General features: G+C 56.6%; 1 protein-coding gene across 6 annotated transcripts in view, besides 3 other annotated features; it reads left to right on the top strand.

Annotated features, from left to right (window-relative positions):
- Nucleotides 1–24,244, top strand: part of SHC2 (SHC adaptor protein 2) — a 44,445-nt gene that overhangs the window by 10,050 nt on the left and 10,151 nt on the right. For 4 of the 6 annotated variants that reach the window (NM_001387056.1, NM_012435.3, XM_011527894.3 and 1 more), the window contains exons 2-9: nt 10,052–10,122; nt 11,954–12,014; nt 12,147–12,266; nt 14,301–14,354; nt 14,553–14,604; nt 14,693–14,819; nt 16,119–16,275; nt 20,237–20,300. In NM_001387056.1, the coding sequence (NP_001373985.1) occupies nt 10,052–10,122; nt 11,954–12,014; nt 12,147–12,266; nt 14,301–14,354; nt 14,553–14,604; nt 14,693–14,819; nt 16,119–16,275; nt 20,237–20,300 (706 nt within the window). Of the gene's footprint in view, nt 1–9,355; nt 9,900–10,051; nt 10,123–11,953; nt 12,015–12,146; nt 12,267–14,300; nt 14,355–14,552; nt 14,605–14,692; nt 14,820–16,118; nt 16,276–20,236; nt 20,301–24,244 lie in introns of all 6 variants that reach the window. The other 2 variants (XM_011527896.3, XM_047438565.1) reach the window with 2 other exon arrangements.
- Nucleotides 14,240–14,741: an enhancer, noted in NCBI's record as "H3K4me1 hESC enhancer chr19:436243-436744 (GRCh37/hg19 assembly coordinates)". NCBI's record gives its function as "activates a minimal SCP1, AML or CMV promoter by ChIP-STARR-seq in naive H9 embryonic stem cells {active_cell/tissue: H9 hESC(naive)}" and the evidence as "EXISTENCE:reporter gene assay evidence [ECO:0000049][PMID:30033119]".
- Nucleotides 20,914–22,113: an enhancer, noted in NCBI's record as "BRD4-independent group 4 enhancer chr19:428871-430070 (GRCh37/hg19 assembly coordinates)". NCBI's record gives its function as "activates an origin of replication core promoter dependent on BRD2, P300/CBP, MED14 and CDK7 cofactors, and independent of BRD4, by STARR-seq in HCT116 cells {active_cell/tissue: HCT116}" and the evidence as "EXISTENCE:reporter gene assay evidence [ECO:0000049][PMID:35650434]".
- Nucleotides 22,640–23,217: an enhancer, noted in NCBI's record as "H3K4me1 hESC enhancer chr19:427767-428344 (GRCh37/hg19 assembly coordinates)". NCBI's record gives its function as "activates a minimal SCP1, AML or CMV promoter by ChIP-STARR-seq in primed H9 embryonic stem cells {active_cell/tissue: H9 hESC(primed)}" and the evidence as "EXISTENCE:reporter gene assay evidence [ECO:0000049][PMID:30033119]".

Here is a 24,244-nt window from a genome sequence, read left to right as displayed (position 1 = left end):
CACACACTGAAATATGACGTGGCTATGGTATGGCCATCCACACGCTGAAATATGACATGGCCACGGCATGGCCATCCACACGCTGAAATATGATGTGGCCACGGCGTGGCCATCCACACGCTGAAATACGGCACAGCCATGGCGTGGCCATCCACACACTGAAATATGACGTGGCCACGGCGTGGCCATCCACATGCTGAAATATGACAATATGATGCGGCCAAGGAAAGAAACGAGGCTGTGACCCAGGCATGAGTGGATCAACACAGTGTGGCCATCCACACGCTGAAATACGACGCGGCCAAGAAAAGGAACGAGGCTCTGACCCAGGCCACGGCACGGACGGACCTTGAGGATGTCTCACTCGGTGAGAGACTCCAGACACAGAAGGACAAGCTTTGTGCAATTCCACCCATCAGAGGTCCCCAGAGCCATCAGATTCACAGAGACAGAAAGTAGGATGGGGCTGGGGAGGGGACGGGGAGTAAGTGTTTTGTGGGGTCAGTTTGAGTTTGGGAAGATGAGGACGTTCTGGAGAGACGGTGGTGGTGGCTGCACAGCCACGGGAATGCGCTGAGTGCCACTGAACCGTGCGATTAAAGACAGTCAAAACTCTAAATTTTATGTTATGTGTGTTTTACCACAATAAAAAAGCAAGCACACGAAAACGCGCCACTCTCTTGCGTCATGGGCCACGTGGAGTTAGGTTGGAGGCGTGTGGCAGTCATGGAAGGCTTTCCCCACAAGATGCCTGGAGGAAGCTCCGAGGCCCTGGGGACAGTTCGGTGTCATTGTGAGTCCCCCCCCTCCTGTAGCGCCGGCTGCCCAGCCTCGCGATGATGGCCAACAGGGCCCCACATTTCCGCGGCACCCCCAGGGCAGCACACACCCCTCGCCCCTGTGGAAAGCCATGGCCAGGGGCACTGACGGGGGCTGTGGCCAGTGGGAGGGGCGTCCTCCTGGCCAGGGGTGGAGGGCGGCACTGGTCAGCGTGGCGCAGGGTGTCAAAGAAATTTGCCTTTAAATAGTTTCAACCTTAGATCAAAGAAACAAGAACAGTAGACTACGTAGAGCTTTTGTAAGTTTGGAATTCTATTGAGACGAAAAGTTCCAAAGAAGACTAGTACAAAGAGTTCCCATGTGTCATTCACCTAGACTGGCCGATTATTAACATCTTGCCTCATTTATTCTGTCTGTATAAATTATTATTATTATCATTATTGAGACACGGTTTTGCTCTCGTTGCCCAGGCTGGAGTGCAATGGCGCAATCTCGGCTCATTGCAACCTCCGCCTCCCGGGTTCAAGCGATTCTCCTACCTTAGGCTCCCACTGTATAAATTATTATTATTACTGTCGTTATTATTGATGAACAATTGAGAAAGTCTGCAGCCGTGATACCCCTCTACCCTCAAACACGCTAGGGTATATAGTCTAAGGACAAGGATTTTCTCCAGCATAGCTATGGTATGATTAACAAAGTCAGGAAATGTACCGTTACAATCCTGCGATCACATTTTCAGTGCGTATTCAAATGTGACCAGTTTTCCCAACGGTGTCAGAGCAACCTTTATTTTCCCATCCCACATTGCATTTAGCCATCCTGCCTTTTTTTTTCTTTTTTTGAGACAGGATCTCGCTCTGGATCATCCAGGCTGGAGTGCAATGGTGCCATCTCAGCTCACTGCAACCTCCGCCTCCTGGGTTCAAGCGATCCTTGCACCTCAGCCTCTTGCTGAGACCTCCCAGGCTGCTGGGACCACAGCTGTGTGCCACCACGCCCAGCTAATTTTTATTTTATTTATTTTAATTTTTTAGAGACAGAGTCTGGCTCTGTCGCCCAGGCTGGAGTGCAGTGGCACCATCTCGGCTCACGGCAACCTCCACCTCCTGCGTTCAAGCGATTCTCCTGCCTCAGCCTCCCGAGTAGCTGGGACTACAGGTGTGCACCACCATGCCTGGCTACTTTTTGTATTTTTGTATTTTTTTTTTTTTGTAGAGACGGGGTTTCACCATGTTGCCCAGGCTGGTCTTGAACTCCTGAACTCAAGCCGTCTGTCTGCCTCGGCCTCCCACAGTGCTGGGATTAGAGGCGTGAGCCACTTGCCCCGTCCGTCCTGTCTCTTTTACCACCTTTAGCCTCACAGTTGTTCCGTCCTGGGATCCATGGAGCCAGTAGTGTTGAAGAGTGCACACCGGCTGCTGGGCTGCCGTCCCTCAGTTTGTGTCTGCCTGGTGTTTGCCTGCAGTTGAGTCGAGGTTGTGTTTTTGGCAGGACGCACAGAGGGGTGCTGTGTTTTCCCAGCCCTTCGTGTCAGGAGGCCCCCGGGTGCTGGTTTGTCCTGATACTGGTGCTGGAGACTTTGATCACCTAGTGTCCTGGGGCGAACGGTGTTCCCCAAAACTCACGTCCTTATTTGGAAAAGGTCCTTTGCAGACGTGGTTAGTTAAGATGAGGCCACACTGGAGTTACTGAAATAGGGTGGGGCCTAAATGCAATGGCTCGTGTCCTCTAAGAAGAGGGAAATCTGCACAGAAGGAGACAGCTGTGTGGAGGAGGCAGAGATGGAGTAACACGGCCACAAGCCCGGGACGCCGGGAGCCCCCAGAAGCTGGAAGAGGCAGGAAGGACCCTCCCCCGGGGCTTCAGAGGGAGCGAGGCCCTGCCCGCAGCTTGACCTCAGACTCCCGGCTCTGGGACGTGGAGAGGATCCGCTCCCGTGGCCCCCAGGTGTGGCCTTTGCTCACGGCAGCCCTGGGAAATGAATGTACTTGGTGAAGGTGACTTTTCTCCCCCGTAAAGCTCTGTTTATTTCCCTTATAATGAGGAAGATCTGCGGGGACTCGTGGAATTGGGACTCGGGTGCATGGGGACGTCGCAGTGCACGCCCCGGGAGCCACTCGCAGGCCAGGCCGTGCACGTTTCCAGCCCAAGCGCTGCCTGCGGCCTCCCCAGCCCTGGCCCCGGCATCCGGTCTTCCTTCCCTGGAACGTGATCTGGGGAGACAGATGTTGACACTGTGCAGACATCCTGGCTCCCAGCTCCCAGCAAACCTTCACGCACTGGTTTTAGCAAAACCTTAGGGTTCTTGTGTGAATGGACACTTTTCATTTTATTAATATATTTATTTTAATGGAAAACCAGGGAGTTATGGTTGCAGTGTGAAGTTTCCTCTTTTTCTCATATAATTTTTTAATTTTTTTTTTAGATGGAGTTTTGTTCTTGTCACCCAGGCTGGAGTGCAGTGGTGCGATCTCGGCTCACCGCAACCTCCGCTTCCCAGGTTCAAGTGATTCTCCTGCCTCAGCCTCCCGAGTAGCTGGGATTACAGGCATAAGCCAACATGCCCAGCTAATCTTGTATTTTTAGTAGAGACGGGGTTTCACCATGTTGGTCAGGCTAGTCCTGAGCTCCTGACCTCAGGTGAGCCGCCCGCCTCGGCCTCCCAAAGTGCTGGGATTGCAGGCCTGAGCCATTGTGCCCGGCTCTCATGCAAATTTTTGAAAAAGCAGATATAATTCGCATACCCTAATCCCAACTGTTTAAACTGTGCAGGGCGGTGTATTTAGTGCAGCCACACGGTTCTGCAACCCTCACCCGTGTCTAGTTCCAGGACGCTCCCGTCAGGCAAAATGGAAACTTATCGCCTGCCCTCAGCCGTCCCTCCCCTCCACCCCCTCCCCATCCCCGGCGCCCACGCGTCCCCTTCCTGCCTCTGTGGATCGGCCTGTCTTGGCCACTTCATAGAAATGGGATCACACGCTGTGTGGCCTTTCCTGTCCGGCGTCCTCACGGTGCGTCCGTGCCATGGCCCGTATCGGAGACTTGCTCCTTTTCACGTCTGGGTCACGTTCCAGAGTGCGGATGGACCCCACTGCATTTATCAGTTCATCCGTTGATAGATATTTTAGTTGTTTCCTGCAATTTCCTTTAAAAAGTAAACGCAATTATGTTTGTAAGTGGAGTTTATTTAGAAGGAAAATACCAAGTAAATGACATCGATACAGACCATGGCAAAGCCTATGAGGTGGGTCCCGGTGGCTGGCGTGGGCGGTGGCGGAGACTCGGACGGTCTCCCAGGCTGGGAGTGCAGACATGGGGACCTCGGCTTGTATCTGCCCTGGCCTGCTGCGTGCGTGAGGCCGGCCAGGTGCCATCCCCTCTCTGGGCTTCGGTTTACTGACTTGTACAGTGGCTCCTTCCCTTAACGTCCTGGGGTGGGTTCTGGGTCATGCCTTCTCTCTGGGCCTCAGTTTCTGAATTTGCAAAGGGGAAGGTTGAATGTGAAGCCGCCAGGGCTCCTCCCCATCTTCTGTGGGAGGGTCCCGGGGCTGCCACCACAAACCACCACAAACTGTGGGGCTTAAAACAACACAGACAGCCGGGCGCGGTGACTCACGCCTGTAGTCCCAGCACTTTGGGAGACCGAGGCGGATCACAAGGTCAAGAGATCGAGACCAGCGAGGCCAATATGATGAAACCCCGTCTCTACTAAAAATACAAAAATTAGCCGGGCGTGGTAGTGGGCGCCTGTAATCCCAGCTACTCAGGAGGCTGAGACAGGAGAATGGTGTGAACCCGGGAGGCGGAAGTTGCAGTGAGTCGTGATCGCACCACCGCACTCCAGCCTGGCGACAGAGCAAGACTCCGTCTCAAACAAACAAACAAAAACCCCAAAAACAAAACAAAACACACACACACACAAACATAGACTTGTTCTGTCACAGTTCTGGGGCCCAACGTCCGAGCCAAGGTGTGGGCAGGGCTGGTTTCTGCTGGAGGCTCTGAGGGAGGCTCTGTCCCAGGCCTCTCTCCCGTGTCTGGTGCCTGGGGGCCGGCCTTGGTGTCCTCGGCTGCACACGGCCCCTCCCTTCTGTGTCTCTGTCTCTCAAATCTCCCTCTGTGCTTGTCTTTTTTTTTTTTTATTTTGAGACAGACTCTCCCTCTGTCACCCAGGCTCGAGTGCAGTGGCGTGATCTTGGCTCTCTGCAGCCTCCGCCTCCTGGGTTCAAATGATTCTCCTGCCTCAGCCTCCCAAGTAGCTGGGATTACAGGCATGCAACCACCACGCCCAGCTAATTTTTTTATTTTTATTTTTATTTTTGTATTTTCAGTAGAGTTGGGGTTTCTCCATGTTGGCCAGGCTAGTCTCAAACTCCTGACCTCAAGTGATCCACTCACCTCGGCCTCCCAAAGTGCTGGGATTACAGGCGTGAGCCACCGCGCCCGGCAAAAATGTGTTTTTTAAGACATGGTTGTGCTCTGTTGCCCAGGCTGGAGTGCCGTGGTGCCATCACAGATCACTGCAGCCTCAACCTCCTGGGCTCAAGCCATCCTCCCACCTCAGCCTCCTGAGTAGCTGGGACCACAGGCCCACACTCACCATGCTCAGCTAATTAAAAATTTTTCTTTTGTAGAGATGAGGCCTCATTACATTGCCCAGGCTGGTCTTGAACTCCTGGCTTCGAGACAGCCTCCCACCTAGGTCTCCTGAAGTGCTGCGATTACAGGCATGAGCTGCTGTGCCAGGCCTAGAAATTTATTTCTCACGGTTCTGGAGGCTGGGAGGGCCACGATCGAGGCGCCGGAAGATTCAGTGTCTGGCGAGGGCCTCTTTACAGAGGGCCGTGTTCTCCTGTGTCCTCACGTGGTGGAGGGCTGGGCTCTGTCTGGGGTCTCTTTTATAAGGGCACTGATCCCAGTCCTGAGGGTGGAGCCCTCATAGCCTCCTCACCTCCCAAAGGCCCACCTTTAAATACCCTCACAGTGGGGCATAGGTTTCCACAGAGGGATTTTGAGGGGGGCACAGATATTCAGCCCTAGATCGATATTTACAAACTGGGAGAATTTCACAGAAAAGCCCTGAATTTCTGGTCTCTTTTTTAAAAAAGCACATGGCCGGCAGCACTGGGCGCCGTGGAGCGTGGGACATGCAGTGAGCTGAGGTCCCCGCCTCTTCCCGTCGTGCAGGGGGAGCAGTGCAGATCCTGGAGCCCAGGGGTGTGGGTTCAGGACCCAGCTCTGCGGGCCGTGTGGCCCAGGAGGTCAGTCACCCTCCCACCCGGGCCTGTTTCCCGAGGGGCCATTGCTGCCCATGGCATGTGGATTTGCGTGGAGTGGATTAACAGACCACGTGCACAGTGTGTCCACAGCAGAGCCTCACACGTGACAAGCGCCCTGAGTTAGCGAGGTGTTGGTATCATTACCGGATCTGCGTGCAGTGGATTAAAGGATGCTGTGCACAGCGTGTCCGCAGCAGAGACTTACACGTGACAAGCGCCCTGAGTTAGCGAGGTGTCGGTATCGTTACTGCATTGCATCCTACCTCGTGTGTTTACCTGGCTGATCCTGAAGGCTGTAGGCATCTGAGTTTGCAGTCCCTGTTCTCAACCGAATAGGATATTGCATTTCCTCTCGTGAGCTGCCGTGGGCCACAGAGGGTTTGCCCCCCACCTCCCCCGTGCACTAGGCTGGTGTCCCCACAACGGGACCCATGGACCACACAGTTCAGGGTTTCAGCCGCACAACCGGAGTGGGCTACGTGTTAATAAGGGGGCAGGTAAGGGAATGAGAATCCCTCACCCTATGGCCCTGTAGCGCCAGACACTGGCACAGACATCATCCCAGAGGCACATGCTCTGCCTGAGAGAAGACAGCCATTGAGCAGCCAGCATCCCACCAAAGCTGCCTCCTCAGTGGGAGAATCCAGTGCTAGGGACAGGGACCATGGCTAATTCCTTTAGGTATGACCTGTCTACTACATGCCTAGAGTCCATTCATCTGTTCATCCATTCATCCATCTACTCATCCACCCACCCATCCATCCATCCATTCATCCACCCACCAATCCACCCATCTGTCCACCCATCCAACCATCCACCTGTCCATCCATCCACCCTCCATCCATCCACCCATCCACCCACCCATCCATCCATCCGTCCATCCACCCATCCACCTACACATCCATCCACCCATCCATCCATCTGTCCATCCATCCAACCATCCGTCCATCCATCCACCCTCCATCCACCCACCCATCCATTCACCCGTCCATCCATCCATCCATCCACCCACCCATCCATCCATCCACCCACCCATCCACCTACACATCCATCCACCCATCCATCCGTCCATCCATCCACCCATGCACTCATCCACCCACCCATCCATCCACCTATTCATCCACCCACCCATCCATCCATCCATCCACCCATCTGTCCACCCATCCAACCATCCGTCCATCCATCCACCCACCCATCCACTCACCCGTCCATCCATCCATTCATCCACCCACCCATCCATCCATCCATTCATCCACCCATCTGTCCACCCATCCAACCATCCATCTGTCCATCCATCCACCCACCCATCCACTCACCCGTCCATCCATCCATTCATCCACCCACCCGTCCATCCACCCATCCACCTACACATCCATCCACCCATCCATCCATCTGTCCATCCATCCACCCATCCACTCATCCACCCACCCATCCATCCATCCATTCATCCACCCATCTGTCCACCCATCCAACCATCCATCTGTCCATCCATCCACCCACCCATCCACTCACCCGTCCATCCATCCATTCATCCACCCACCCATCCATCCATCCGTCCATCCACCCATCCACCTACACATCCATCCACCCATCCATCCATCCACCCATCCACTCATCCACCCACCCATCCATGCACCTATTCATCCACCCACCCATCCATCCATCTGTCCACCCATCCAACTATCCATCTGTCCATCCATTCACCCATCCACTCATCTACCCACCCATCCACCCATGCACTCATCTACCCACCCATCCATCCATCCATTCATCCACCCACCCATCTACCCATCTGTCCACCCATCCAACCACCCATCTGTCCATCCATCCACCCTCCATCCATCCACCCACCCATCCACTCATCCACCCACCCGTCCATCCATCCATTCATCCACCCACCCACCCATTCATCCATCCATCCACCCACCCATGCATCCATCCATCCACCCATCCACCCACCCGTCCATCCATCCATTCACCCACCCATCCATCCACCCATCCACCCACCCGTCCATCCATCCATTCATCCACCCACCCATCCACTCATCTATCCACCCACCCATCCATCCGTCCACCCGTCCACCCATCCACCCACCCATCCACCCATCCACTCATCCACCCACCCATCCATCCACCCATCCATCCATCCATCCACCCATCCACTCATCCACCCACCCACCCACCCGTCCATCCACCCACCCATCCATCCAGCCATCCGTCCACCCGTCCACCCACCCATCCACCCATCCACTCATCCACCCACCCATCCATCCACCCATCCATCCATCCACCCATTCACTCATCCACCCACCCACCCACCCGTCCATCCACCCACCCATCCATCCAGCCATCCGTCCACCCACCCACCCATCCACCCACCCACCCATCCATCCACCCACCCATCCATCCATCCATCCGTCCATCCATCCATCCACCCATCCACCCACCCATCCACCCACCCATTCATCCATCCATCCATCCACCCGCCCATCCATCCATCTGTCCATCCATCCATCCACCCATCCACTCATCTACTCATCTACCCACCCACCCATCCATCCATCCTTCCACCCTCCATCCATCCACCCACCCATCCATTCATTGTCCATCTGCCTGTCCATCCATCTACCCATCCATCCATCATCCACTCACCCATCATCCATCCGTTCACCCACTCACCCACCCATCTATTCATCTTCCATCCATTCTTTCATTCATCCATCCACCTGCCATCTTTCTGTCAGTCCATCCACCCATCATGCATCCATTCAACAGGAGGTGAGGCTGCTTAGTCCATGCCCTGCTTAAGTGCTCCCTGGCTCCCCAGCTGGCCCAGGATGAGCCCCTGCCCGTCATCACAGCCCAGGTCCTGTGGCCTCTGCTTCCTGCCTGCATTCTCACATCTGTCTCTGCTCCTTGCTCTCCCTGCTCCAGGTACATGGAGCCGTGGAGAGGGGCAGAGCCTGGGCCGGCCCACACAGTGACCTGTACACACCTCAGAAGCCCTCAGGCTGATGTATCTGTGGGGTAAAGTCCTAAAAATGGAGCTGCAGGGTCAAAGTGTTTGCGTGTTGATCATTTAAAGAAACTGAGGTGGACTTCACATAACGTTATTCATCATTTTGCATGTTGCATTTTTCACAGTTCAGTAGCATTTCGTACATTCATAATATCGTGCCACCACCCCTTCTGTCTAATTCCAGAATTTCTCATGACCCCAGTAGGAAACCTGTTCGTGTCAGCCTTCATTCCCCGGCTCCTGGCACCCACACATGCTCTTGCTGCCTCTGTAGGACATTTCATAGAGATGACGTGGGCTGTGCCCCTTACCCTCCCTCCAGCAAGGGCCAACGTTGGAAGGACGCTGTGGCCTTCGCCTCCTGGCCCTGTTCCCCCACCCTTTACGGCACTGAAGCAGGTCAGGGACTCGGTGGGACGCCTCTGCCCCTCTCGTCCCTCAGTATTATCAGTCATTGAGATGGTGAATTCCCTTTTCATGGAAACAGCTGTCTGGGCCAGAAGCCCGCAAACTTCCTGTGGAGGGCGAGGCCAGCAGTGTGTGCATCTGTGGCTGCCCTGGACGTCTGCCCCACTGTTTGCCAGACCCTGAACTGGGCGCTGGAGATAGGGAAGTGCTCAGGATCGCACCATCCCCACGCTCCTCGGCTTCGGTGCTGGTGGAACAGAAAGAGACCGACGAGGGCAAGACGGTTAAATGAACAAGCAGCATAGAGCGTCTGGGGGAACCACCAGGCTCCTGAGAAACAGCAACACAGAAAAACATGCCTGGAGTCAGAGGGGGCGGCTCGCAGGACAGTGTCAAGGCTGGGCCTTGAGGTGGGGGAGGCACGACGGCCCCAGAGCCACCAGGGACAGAGGAAAGGGCTCGACCCCAGGGGTGGTGGAGGCGGCGAAGGGCTGCTGGGAAAAGGGACGTGGCTCCACTGCGGGGGTTCCGATGGCATCTGACACCTGTTCTCTCCCCTCAGTACATGGGCTGCATCGAGGTTCTCCGCTCTATGCGCTCCCTGGACTTTAACACGCGCACGCAGGTGACCAGGTGAGCCTCCAACCCTGCCCTGGCCGCGTAGGGCTGAGTGACGCACTGGAGGGCGGCAGCACTGGAGGGCGGCAGCGATGGGCTCTCCGACAGCCGCGCTGGGGTCCCAGGACGCAGCCTCGGTGCCCCCCACCTCCCTCCCACTTCACGCCACGTCTCCGCCCTGTCCCCACGCCAGGTGTCGGTCACCGTGCCCTGCAGACCTCGATCCTCTAAGATGGAAAGAACACGCCGGTCGCTCACAGGGTGCTGGGCAAGTCCCCGCACGGCGTGGGGTGCAGGGCCTGGCGGGTTCCCTCTGGGACCGGGGCCCAGTGGCGTCTCCGTGTCCCTGCTCTGTTTTCCACACGGTGACCTCAGGATGCTATGCGGTGTCTGGAAAGCAATCACAGGGGCTGTGGATATGGCCAGGGCTTAAGCAGGGAAGAGAGCGACACCCTTTTTTTCTGTGAAAACTGGTTGATTCCATTCGTATAGACTTAAAAAAACCATGTGAGACAGTTTACACGTGCGTATGTGAGATATAATGTACAGTTTGAGACTTTAGGCTCTTCACAGAGTCACACGATCACCACTGTCTAGTTCCGAACATTCTCATTACCCCATCAAAACACCCCGTCCCCATCACAGCCACTCCCCGTCCCCTCCCCAGCCCCGGCACCCACGCATCCCCTCCCTGTCTCTGTGGATCGGCCTGTCCTGGACATTTCATAGCAATGGGATCACACGCTGCGTGGCCTCGTGTGTCTGGCGTCTCTCACTGAGCATGGCGTTCCCGAGGTGTGTCCGCGCTGTGGCCTGGGTCAGAGCCTTGCTCCTTTTTTTTTTTTTTTTTTGAGATGGAGTCTCACTCTGTTGCCCAGGCTGGAGTGCAGTGACACCGTGTCGGCTCACTGCAACCTCTGTCTCCTGGGTTCAAGCATTTCTCTTGCCTCAGCCTCCCCAGTAGCTGGGACTACAGGCGCCCACCACCACACCCAGCTAGTTTTTATGTTTTTAGTAGAGACGGGGTTTCTCCATGTTGGTCAGACCGGTCTCGAACCCCTGACCTCAGGTGATCCGCCCGTCTCAGCCTCCCCAAGTGTTGGGATGACAGGTGGGGGCCGCCGCGCCTGCATGCATTTGTTTGTGTCAGGCCCACAGTGCTAGGATGACAGGCAGGAGCCGCTGCATCTGGCCAATTTTTAACCTTTTGAGGAGCCCCCAGGCTGTTTTCCACAGTGGCCGTGCTGTGAAAATTCCCACATGCCCTGGGTGGGGGATCTGGTTTCTCCACGTGACGCCGACATTTCCGGGGCCCCTTCAGGACCCTGTAGACTTCTAACCTCTCCTGGGGACCAGTGGTCTGAGGCGCTCTTGTTTGGGGTCAGCTCCTGCCACCACTCAGGCTGCAGACAGGATCTCGACACGGACCCCGCGTCAGGCTCAGGGCCTCCTGCTCGCTGCTCCAACCCCCACATCTGATGCCGAGCCTTCCTTGTGGGCCGAGGCCAGGGACACACTGGTCCCTGGGAAAGAGGGTGGTAGAGGGGCCAGAGCTGGGGGCCGGGCCTCTGCCGGATGCAAGGACGCACGTGGAGTGGGCTGGTGCCCAAGCTGCACCTGTCCTGTGGGGCACTCCTCCCCCAGGTTCCCCAGCCCCCTCCCTGCCCACTTTAGGCCCCCTGATCCTCTCCCACCCCTCCCTCTCTGCCTTCCTCTCCCCTCTCTCTCGCCCTTCTCTGAGCTCCTGCCCCCTCCCCAGACCCCCGCCCTCTCTGACCCCTTCCTCCCCAGCTCCCTCCATGGCCACCCCCACCACACTCTCTAAGCCCCCTCCTCCCAACCCCAGGGAAGCCATCAACCGGCTCCATGAGGCCGTGCCTGGCGTCCGGGGATCCTGGAAGAAAAAGGTGAGTGAGGCTTGTGGTCTCTCGTGGGGCTGGTGGGGCAGTCGGGGGCTGTGGGGACGCTGCGGCCATCCTGGGAGCCCCTCGACAGCCCCCACCCACAGCCGCCCTCGCTGTGCTCCGCCCCCAACTCAGGCCCCCAACAAGGCCCTGGCGTCCGTCCTGGGCAAGAGCAACCTTCGCTTTGCCGGCATGAGCATCTCCATCCACATCTCCACTGATGGCCTCAGCCTCTCCGTGCCTGCCACGCGCCAGGTGGGTCTGCCCTCTTCGCCTGGCGTCCCCAGACCCCCAGAGGGGCCAGGAGTCCTAGGAGGCAAAGCCAGGTGGGGTGCTGGGGGCGGGCAGCAGGTGGCGTTTATCCAGAAAGACGAGCCGAGGCCCCGCTGAGCAGGAGCTGGGGGTGCAGCCACTGCCCTCACGGGGCTCAGCTCAGGGGCTCCCACCTGGGCGAGCCGTCCTGATACAGGGGCGCTCCTGGCATGGAGTGGGTGGGGGCAGGGACGCTGCTCAGCACCCTGCAGGGGCCAGGACGCCCCACCCCAGAGAGTGGTCCGTCCCAACATCCACAGTGCCTGGGGAGGGGCGGGGATAAACCCTGGCTATCAGTCCTCAAGTGGAAACAAACAACAAAAGTATAATTGCAGACCAGGCTCGGGCTTGGTTGCTCACGCCTGTAACCCCAGCACTGTGAGGCCGGGCTCAGTGGCTCACGCCTGTAACCCCAGCACTTTGGGAGGCTGAGGGGTGGGCAGATCACTTGAGGTCAGGAGTTCGAGACCAGCCTGGCCAACATGGCTGACTCTACAAAAAATACAAAGATTAGCCGGGTGTGGTGGTGGGCGCCTGTAATCCCAGCTACTTGGGAGGCTGAGGCAGGAGAATCGCTTGAACCTGGGAGTGGAGGTTGCAGTGAGCCAAGATTGCACTACTGCACTCCAGCCTGGGCAACAGAGTGAGACTCTGTCTCAAAAAACCAAAAAACAAAAAACTATAATTGCAGAAATAGAGGAAATAACAGATTTTAGGAAGCATTGTGAGGCCAGGTGAGGGGTGTCCTGAGCATGTGCTGGGCTCTGGGTGCTAGAAGAGACTTCCTGGAGGGCTCTGGGAGGTGGTGAGGAGGGGAATCTCAGGTGTGGCTGAAAGAGGAGGCATCGCCTTGTCGGAGAAGTTAGCATGGATCATCGTGAGGAGTTTGGGGTGAGACAGCATCTCTGAGCTGGTGTGGTGGCAGCAGGTGGCGGTGAGGGGCAGCTGGGGCTCCAGGGAGGAGGCTAGAGAAGGATGGAGCTGGCGGGGGGGTGACTGAGGGCCATTTCCACGCAATTTCCATCTCTGCCCCCACCCTGCGAGGCATGGACCCCTGACCACTATATGGACAGGATACTGAGGCTCCAAGCAGACCCTCCTGGCTGGGCCGGGGTTGGCAAGGGGAGAGCCTCGAGGGTCCCTATGGGGGCTGAGAAGTGGATGTTCTGTAGGGAGGACTCAGGACGTGGCTGGTATCGGGGGCTTACTGGGGCCTAGAGGGATTTGAGTGACGGGAAGCAAATGAAGCAGGACCATGCAAATGAGCATGCAAACAAGCACGCAGACGAGCACACAAACAAGCACACAGATGAGCATGCAAACAAGCACGCAGATGAGCATGCAGATGAGCACACAGACGAGCACGCAGATGAGCACACAGACGAGCACGCAGACGAGCACGCAAACGAGCACGCAGATGAGCTCGCAAACGAGCACGCAGATGACCACGCAAACGAGCAAGTAGATGAGCATGCAAACGAGCATGCAGATCAGTAGGCAAACAAGCATACAAATGAGCATGCAGATAAGCATGCAAATGCACTCACAGGTGCCCTTGCACGTGGACAAGGGAGTCAGGAGTGTGGGGCCGTCCCTCCCGTGGCTGCTTCGGGTGTGTGTGTGTGTGTGCATGTGTGTGGGGCTTGGGGTGTGTGTGTGTGAGCGTCTGGGCAGGTACATGTGTGAAGTGTTACAGTGGGGGAGGTTTGTCCTCTCACACACATTCCCGTGTGACCTCCTGCGGACCCCACACATCCCTTAGGGCCCTAGTCCCTTCCTTGCTGGGGACTCCACATCCCAGCCTCGGTCGTCCAGGCTGACCCAGGACCCGGCTGCAGTGGGTGCCTGTCCAGGAGACGTCTCCATCCCCACATCCCTGCCCCTGCCCCACTCTTCGCTGTGGTCCTGGTCCATCTGCCGGGCCCCCTGCCCTCGAAGCGGGGCCCCCATGACCGCGTGTGCCTCCTGCCGCCACAGGTCATCGCCAACCACCACATGCCGTCCATCTCCTTCGCGTCAGGCGGAGACACGGTGAGGCCAGGGATGGGGGTGGACCTGCAGCCCTGCCGCCCCCCTCCGGCCGCGAGACCCTCTCATCCTTCCCCAGAGCCCGCCTAACGTACCCTGTGCCCACATCCACTGCCCCATCTCTCTGCATTGCTGGGGTGGGCAGCTGGGAATCCCGGTGGGGGGCCCAGGCAGGTCCAGCTGGCCCCTCCCCGCCCCCAGGACATGACGGATTACGTGGCCTACGTCGCCAAGGACCCCATCAACCAGAGAGGTGAGGCCCCCGGGGAGGCCGGTGGGGGTCCTGTGGCTGGGGGGCACGGCCGTGTGGCTCGGAGGCTGCATGACCAACGTGCCCGCAGCCTGCCACATCCTGGAGTGCTGTGAGGGCCTGGCACAGAGCATCATCAGCACCGTGGGCCAAGCTTTCGAGCTGCGCTTCAAGCAGTACCTGCACAGCCCGCCCAAGGTGGCGCTGCCCCCAGAAAGGTAACCAGAGCTGCCTCCCCCGTGCCCTGGGGACACCCCCAGTGACCTGCCCAGGTGCAGAGCCTGCTCCACCTCCTGCAGGCCTCAGCCTCCGTCCTGCCCTTGTCCCTCCCTCCCTGTCCCGTGAGAATATGGCTCAGCCAGAGGATCCTGTTTCCTCGGCTGTTAACACCCGAGTAAACGCATCCCCGCCTGCCCCCCAGGATTGGGGAGGACTAAGCAAGCTGACTCCCCGGTGTGCCTGAGGCTGTCAGCCCTGCTGCTACAACCAATATCCCTCCTCCAGACGCGCGGCCGGCTCCCGCAATGGGCAGAAAACGGCCTCCGTCTCACCGCAGAACATGTGTAAAGGGGGGGACGTGTCTGTGTGCTGGTAACACGTTTTTTATAGACATTGAAGTGTGAATGCCACGTGTTGCAAAATATGATTCTCTAGATGTTTTCTCAAACACTTAACTTTGATAATTTAAAGATTGAAAGCCCATTCTTAGCTCGTGGGCCACACAGATCTAGGCGGTGAGCTGGATTTGGCCCTGGGCTGGGGTTTGCCAGCTGGCCTTGGAGAAGGAGCTATTTAAGTCTCTATTCATCATTAGAAAGTCAGCTTCCTCCAATGGTGGGAGGGCAGGTGCAGGTGCATGAGCTCCCAGCCTGCTGGTCACGAGGGAGGCGGCATCGCACGCCTGCTCACACTCACCCCTTTGTGCACGGGGACAGCGTGCTTGATGCACGTTGCTCAGCACGCTCCGAAGCTGAGACGGGCTCCTCGCCTGCCTCCAGAGCTGCCTCTGCCTTCCGTAGGCTGCTTCATAATTTATCCCAGCAGCGACTGTGGGCCAGGTGGGGTGCACCCCTCTGGCTCTCGGGGCCGTGCTTGCTGAGGAGCACCTGCAGGATCAATTCCTGCCAGTGCCATCGGGGCCAGAGGGCGGGGGCGCTTTGATCCCAGAGAGTTGCCACCCTGACCGGTGATGTCCTGGTTCTGGGTATAAACTTGGCTCATGCCCTCTGCTGCCGGGCGGGGCCGGAGGTGGGCAGAAAGGAGTGGAGACTGGGTTTGCCAACGACCTGCCTTTTGTGCTACAGCTCGGAAATGTGTGCAACATTCCATTTTATAGATGAGGAAGTAGTGGGCCTGGTCACTGGCTCTAGAAGCGTTTCCCGGTAGGAACCCTCAGTGACAGGTGGGGGGCTGGGATTCGAACTCAGATATTTCCTGCTCCCCCAGAAGCTCAAGCCGTAAGGCTTTAGCCCCCTTGGGCCCTGCCTGTGCCATGGCCGTTGTTGTCTGTCCCCCAGGCTGGCAGGGCCGGAGGAGTCGGCCTGGGGGGACGAGGAGGACTCTTTGGAGCACAATTACTACAACAGCATCCCGGGGAAGGAGCCGCCGCTGGGCGGGCTAGTGGACTCCAGGCTGGCCCTGACACAGCCCTGCGCCCTCACGGCCCTCGACCAGGTCAGCCTCTGCCCTCGGGGGGATGGGGACAGGGATGCCCCAGCTGCTGGTTCCCTGGACCTACCTCCAGCTCTTCTTTCTGCTCCTGTTCTCCTCGATCCTAGAGGAGGGTCTCTCACTCAGACTCACTCACTCACTCACTCATGATTTCACTTACTCACAGACTCACAATCTCACTCACAATCTCACAGGCTCACGATCTCACTCATGATTTCACTCACTCACAGACTCACGATCTCACTCACTTGCTCACTATCTCACAGACTCATGATCTCACTCAGTCTCACTCACTATCTCACTCACAGACTCACGATCTCACTCAGACTCATCATCTCACTCACGATCTCATGATCTCACTCACTCATGATCTCACTCACAGACTCATGATCTCAGTCACGATCTCACTCACTCATGATCTCACTCACTCATGATCTCACTCATGATCTCACTCACTCATGATCTCACTCAGGATCTCACTCACTCACTCAATCACAGGCTCACAATGGGGCGCCGTGTATCTGCCCGGCCTCCTCTATCTCTCACTCACTATCTCACTCACGATGAAGCGCCATCTGCCCGGCCTCCTCTAACTCTCACTCACGATCTCACTCACGATGAAGCGCCATCTATCTGCCCGGCCTCCTCTAACTCTCACTCACGATCTCACTCACGATGAAGCGCCATCTATCTGCCCGGCCTCCTCTATCTCTCACTCACGATCTCACTCACGATGAAGCGCCATCTATCTGCCCGGCCTCCTCTATCTCTCACTCACGATCTCACTCACGATGAAGCGCCATCTATCTGCCCCGCCTCCTCTATCTCTCACTCACGATCTCACTCACGATGAAGCGCCATCTATCTGCCCCGCCTCCTCTAACTCTCACTCACGATCTCACTCACGATGAAGCGCCATCTATCTGCCCGGCCTCCTCTAACTCTCACTCACGATCTCACTCACGATGAAGCGCCATCTATCTGCCCGGCCTCCTCTAACTCTCACTCACGATCTCACTCACGATGAAGCGCCATCTATCTGCCCGGCCTCCTCTATCTCTCACTCACTATCTCACTCACGATGAAGCGCCATCTATCTGCCCGGCCTCCTCTATCTCTCACTCACTATCTCACTCACGATGAAGCGCCATCTGCCCGGCCTCCTCTAACTCTCACTCACGATCTCACTCACGATGAAGCGCCATCTATCTGCCCGGCCTCCTCTATCTCTCACTCACGATCTCACTCACGATGAAGCGCCATCTGCCCGGCCTCCTCTAACTCTCACTCACGATCTCACTCACGATGAAGCGCCATCTATCTGCCCGGCCTCCTCTAACTCTCACTCACGATCTCACTCACGATGAAGCGCCATCTATCTGCCCCGCCTCCTCTATCTCTCACTCACGATCTCACTCACGATGAAGCGCCATCTATCTGCCCGGCCTCCTCTAACTCTCACTCACGATCTCACTCACGATGAAGCGCCATCTATCTGCCCTGCCTCCTCTATCTCTCACTCACGATCTCACTCACGATGAAGCGCCATCTATCTGCCCGGCCTCCTCTATCTCTCACTCACGATCTCACTCACGATGAAGCGCCATCTATCTGCCCCGCCTCCTCTATCTCTCACTCACGATCTCACTCACGATGAAGCGCCATCTATCTGCCTGGCCTCCTCTATCTCTCACTCACGATCTCACTCACGATGAAGCGCCATCTATCTGCCCGGCCTCCTCTATCTCTCACTCACGATCTCACTCACGATGAAGCGCCATCTGCCCGGCCTCCTCTAACTCTCACTCACGATCTCACTCACGATGAAGCGCCATCTATCTGCCCGGCCTCCTCTAACTCTCACTCACGATCTCACTCACGATGAAGCGCCATCTATCTGCCCGGCCTCCTCTATCTCTCACTCACGATCTCACTCACGATGAAGCGCCATCTATCTGCCCGGCCTCCTCTATCTCTCACTCACGATCTCACTCACGATGAAGCGCCATCTATCTGCCCGGCCTCCTCTATCTCTCACTCACGATCTCACTCACGATGAAGCGCCATCTATCTGCCCGGCCTCCTCTATCTCTCACTCACGATCTCACTCACGATGAAGCGCCATCTATCTGCCCGGCCTCCTCTATCTCTCACTCACGATCTCACTCACGATGAAGCGCCATCTATCTGCCCGGCCTCCTCTATCTCTCACTCACGATCTCACTCACGATGAAGCGCCATCTATCTGCCCGGCCTCCTCTATCTCTCACTCACGATCTCACTCACGATGAAGCGCCATCTATCTGCCCGGCCTCCTCTAACTCTCACTCACGATCTCACTCACGATGAAGCGCCATCTATCTGCCCCGCCTCCTCTATCTCTCACTCACGATCTCACTCACGATGAAGCGCCATCTATCTGCCCGGCCTCCTCTAACTCTCACTCACGATCTCACTCACGATGAAGCGCCATCTATCTGCCCGGCCTCCTCTAACTCTCACTCACGATCTCACTCACGATGAAGCGCCATGTATCTGCCCGGCCTCCTCTATCTCTCACTCACGATCTCACTCACGATGAAGCGCCATCTATCTGCCCGGCCTCCTCTATCTCTCACTCACGATCTCACTCACGATGAAGCGCCATCTATCTGCCCGGCCTCCTCTATCTCTCACTCACGATCTCACTCACGATGAAGCGCCATCTATCTGCCCCGCCTCCTCTATCTCTCACTCACGATCTCACTCACGATGAAGCGCCATCTATCTGCCTGGCCTCCTCTATCTCTCACTCACGATCTCACTCACGATGAAGCGCCATCTGCCCGGCCTCCTCTAACTCTCACTCACGATCTCACTCACGATGAAGCGCCATCTATCTGCCCGGCCTCCTCTAACTCTCACTCACGATCTCACTCACGATGAAGCGCCATCTATCTGCCCGGCCTCCTCTAACTCTCACTCACGATCTCACTCACGATGAAGCGCTATCTATCTGCCCGGCCTCCTCTATCTCTCACTCACGATCTCACTCACGATGAAGCGCCATCTATCTGCCCCGCCTCCTCTATCTCTCACTCACGATCTCACTCACGATGAAGCGCCATCTATCTGCCCGGCCTCCTCTATCTCTCACTCACGATCTCACTCACGATGAAGCGCCATCTGCCCGGCCTCCTCTATCTCTCACTCACGATCTCACTCACGATGAAGCGCCATCTGCCCGGCCTCCTCTATCTCTCACTCACGATCTCACTCACGATGAAGCGCCATCTGCCCGGCCTCCTCTAACTCTCACTCACGATCTCACTCACGATGAAGTGCCATCTATCTGCCTGGCCTCCTCTATCTCTCACTCACGATCTCACTCACGATGAAGCGCCATCTATCTGCCCGGCCTCCTCTAACTCTCACTCACGATCTCACTCACGATGAAGCGCCATCTATCTGCCCGGCCTCCTCTGGACACATTAGACGAGGTGGCATTTCAGACATGACTTCTACCCTCAGACACTAAATAAATACGGCAATGATTTAATCAGGGCCTTGGTAAGTCCACCAGAGAGGCAGTGAGGATGTCCATGGGGACATACACTCTGTAGGGCGGTCCGGAGGCCTTCCCTGAGGAAGCGGCATTTGGGTAGAGCCCTGACTGGTGAATAGGAGCTGCCTGGGAGAGCAGAGCGGGGAAGGTTATCCAGGCAGGGGGAACAGCCATTGCAAGGTGGCAGGATGTGCTGACCACCTTCCGAGGTGGAGAGAAGGCGGGGAAGGCCACGGCAGAGGTGGGCGGCAGACCCAGGGGGCCTAGTTACAGAGTGAGAGAGCAATGGGAGGGCCAGGGCTGTGCTCCCCACCCCTAAGTCTCCAGCCATCTAAGAGGGCCGGGCGGGGAGACTGGGGGTCCAGAGCCAGGAAGAGGGGCTTGCACACACCGGGGAACCTCTCACTGCTCTGTTTCCAGGGCCCATCTCCTTCTCTAAGAGATGCCTGCAGCCTGCCATGGGACGTGGGGTCCACCGGTACAGGTAGGATGGGCTGGGGCTGCAAGGGGTACCCACGAGGATTCTGGGGCTCCTCAGCCCTGTCCTGTGCTGGCTCCCCCTCAGTCTTTCTCCTCTCTGCTTATTTCACATTAATCTATGAGATCGTCTTGCTCCTAACACTCTGCTGAGATTTTCATCATCAGTGTCTGTTTTTCCTGCACACACTAGATTCCTTGCATGTTGGGTATAAGTACTACATTATCCACACGGTATTAGGTTTCCGTGCATGTTGGGTATAGGTACTGTGTCATCCACATGGTATTAGGTGTCCATGCATGTTGGATATAGGTACTGCGTCTTCCACACGGTATTAGGTCTCTGTGCATGTTGAGATATAGGTGCCGCGTCATCCACACGGTATTAGGTTTCTGTGCACGTTGGGGTATAGGTACTGCGTCATCCACACGGTATTAGGTTTCCGTGCACGTTGGATATACATACTGCGTCATCCACACGGTATTAGGTTTCTGTGCACGTTGGGGTATAGGTACTGCGTCATCCACACGGTATCAGGTTTCCGTGCATGTTGGGATATAGGTACTGCGTCATCCACACGGTATTAGGTTTCCGTGCACGTTGGGATATAGGTACTGCGTCATCCACACGGTATTAGGTTTCCGTGCACGTTGGGGTATAGGTACTGCGTCATCCACACGGTGTTAGGTTTCCGTGCATGTTGGGTATAGGTACTGCGTCATCCACATGGTATTAGGTTTCTGTGCACGTTGGGTGTAGATACTGTGTCATCCACACGGTATTAGGTTTCTCTGCACGTTGGATATAGGTACTGCGTCATCCACACGGTGTTAGGTTTCTGTGCGTGTTGGGTATAGGTACTGTGTCATCCACACGGTATGAGGTTTCCGTGCATGTTGGGTATAGGTACTGCGTCATCCACACGGTGTTAGGTTTCCGAGCATGTTGGGTATAGGTACTGCGTCATCCACACGGTGTTAGGTTTCCGTGCATGTTGGGTATAGGTACTGCGTCATCCACACGGTATGAGATTTCCGTGCATGTTGGGTATAGGTACTGTGTCATCCACACGGTATTAGGTTTCTCTGCATGTTGGGTATAGGTACTGCGTCATCCACACGGTGTTAGGTTTCTGTGCACGTTGGATATAGGTACTGCGTCATCCACACGGTGTTAGGTTTCCGTGCACGTTGGGTATAGGTACTGCGTCATCCACACGGTATTAGGTTTCTGTGCACGTTGGGTGTAGATACTGTGTCATCCACACGGTATTAGGTTTCTCTGCATGTTGGATATAGGTACTGCGTCATCCACACGGTGTTAGGTTTCCGTGCGTGTTGGGTATAGGTACTGCGTCATCCACACGGTGTTAGGTTTCCGTGCATGTTGGGTATAGGTACTGCGTCATCCACACGGTATGAGGTTTCCGTGCATGTTGGGTATAGGTACTGTGTCATCCACACGGTATTAGGTTTCTCTGCATGTTGGATATAGGTACTGCGTCATCCACACGGTGTTAGGTTTCTGTGCATGTTGGATATAGGTACTGCATCATCCACACAGTGTTAGGTTTCCGTGCACGTTGGGTATAGGTACCGCATCATCCACACGGTATGAGGTTTCTGTGCATGTTGGGATATAGGTACTGCGTCATCCACACGGTATTAGGTTTCTTTGCATGTTGGATATAGGTACTGCGTCATCCACACGGTGTTAGGTTTCCGTGCACGTTGGGTATAGGTACTGCGTCATCCACACGGTATGAGGTTTCCGTGCATGTTGGGATATAGGTACTGCGTCATCCACACGGTATGAGGTTTCTGTGCATGTTGGGTATAGGTACTGCGTCATCCACACAGTATTAGGTTTCTGTGCACGTTGGGTGTAGATACTGTGTCATCCACACAGTATTAGGTTTCTCTGCATGTTGGATATAGGTACTGCATTCGTCCACATGGTTCAAAACATCATGGAGTTTAAAAAGCCGTTCAATGAGCAATCTCTTTCATACCTGTCTGCATCTGTTTTCTTTGCCTCCCTGATCAGGCAGCCACTGTTAGCTGTCAGTGGCTCCTGAGTTATTTTCCTAGCTTTTCAACGGATATTCAAGCCAGTTCAAACGTGCGTCATAGCCCTTGTTTTTGCAGATAGGGTGTGCTACCCATCCATCTTCCACCTTGCTGTGTCCATGGGGCAAACATCAGGGGTTCTTCCCACACTGTGCACGCCAGACTTCCTCATGGTTACATCATTTATTCCACTCACGCCCTGGTCCTGGACATCTGCGTTGATTGCAGGCCTTTGCCATGACAGACAGCAGTGTGGTGACCTTAAACGGTCCGCCTGTGTGCCAGGACTCAACAAACGCGTCCCAGGGAGGGGCACTCGGGCCATTTCAGTAGGAATCAGTAATTGCCCGCTCAACCGACATTCCCACCGGGCACTTCGAGCTTTGGCTTTTTGTTTTTGAGACGTCTTGCTTTGTCGCCCAGGTTGGAGGGCAGTGGTGTGATCATGGCTCACGGAAGCCTCCACCTCTCAGGCTCAAGCAGTCCTCACTCCTAACACTCCAGAGTAGCTGGAACCACAGGCGTGCGTCACTGCACCCAGCACATTTTTAAATTGTGTGGAGGTGAGGTCTCACTGTTTCCCAGGCTGATCTCAAAGCCCTGGGCTCAAGAGATCCTCCCTTCCCTGTGCGGGGTGCAATTTCTCTTCCCTGTGCCGTCCCCTCCCCTGTGCCATGTGGCCTCCCTTTTCCTGTGCCGTGTGCAGTTCCCCCTTCCCTGCGCCGTGTGCAGTTCCCCCTTCTCTGTGCCGTGTGCAGTTCCCCCTTCCCTGTGCCGTGTGCAGTTCCCCCTTCCCTGTGCCGCCCCCTTCCGTGTGCTGTGCGCCGTCCCCTGTCCCCTTACCTGTGCCGTGCGCAATTCCCCTTCCCTGCGCCGTGTGCAGTTCCCCCTTCCCTGTGCCGTGCGCAATTCCCCTTCCCTGCGCCGTGTGCAGTTCCCCCTTCCCTGTGCCGCCCCCTTCCGTGTGCTGTGCGCCGTCCCCTGTCCCCTTACCTGTGCCGTGCGCAATTCCCCTTCCCTGCGCCGTGTGCAGTTCCCCCTTCCCTGTGCCGTGCGCAATTCCCCTTCCCTGTGCCGTGCGCAATTCCCCTTCCCTGTGCCGTGCGCAATTCCCCTTCCCTGTGCCGTGTGCAATTCCCCTTCCCTGTGCCGTGTGCAATTCCCCCTTACCCAAGCCATTCCTGATGGGCATTGAGGATCCTTCCCGCTCCCTCAGGTAGCTCCGCGGCAGGCGCCCCTCGTTCCCACGAGCCCTTCTCTCCAGTGCATGCTGAGCCGGGAACTGCCGGGTCACGGAGCGCCGGCCTTAATCACGTTACCGGCGGTGCCAGTCCACCCTGGAGGCGGCTGTGCAGTCGGCTCGCCCACCAGCCCCGCCTGCGGCTGCCTGTTTCCTAACAGCCTTGCTAACATCTGTGTTGAGCTTTTTTTAGATCTTCCCAAACAATCTGGCATTTCGCTGCCAAGCGTCAGAGCCCTCGAGCTGGTCAGAGAAACTCGAGCCATCGAGTGCCCACCCGGTGCCCAGCTGTGCTCTGGTCCTGGCGCACGTTCCTCTGGGATGCTGGCTGCTCACCCCGGACCGGGGGCTCGCCAGCGTTCCCTGCCCCTGTGCCCACACCCGGGCTGTTCTCACTTGCACTCATGCCCTTCCCGATTCTCTGGCCAAGAACTCCTACAAATGTGCCCATAGCGCGGGTCCAGGGTCCAGGGATTCCTCCACCCGCCTGCGTCTCGCACTGTCGTCCTCCCTCCCCGGACTCTGCCCCTCGCACTGTCGTCCTCCCTCCCCGGACTCTGCCCCTCTCGGTGTCGTCCTCCCTCCCCGGACTCTGCCCCTCTCGGTGTCGTCCTCCCTCCCCGGACTCTGCCCCTCTCGGT

This window comes from Homo sapiens, chromosome 19 (genome assembly GCF_000001405.40).
Source record: "Homo sapiens chromosome 19, GRCh38.p14 Primary Assembly".
NCBI classification, from domain to species: Eukaryota; Metazoa; Chordata; class Mammalia; order Primates; family Hominidae; genus Homo; species Homo sapiens.
Note: the sequence above shows the minus strand (reverse complement) of the source record. Positions and strands in the feature narration are given on the sequence as shown.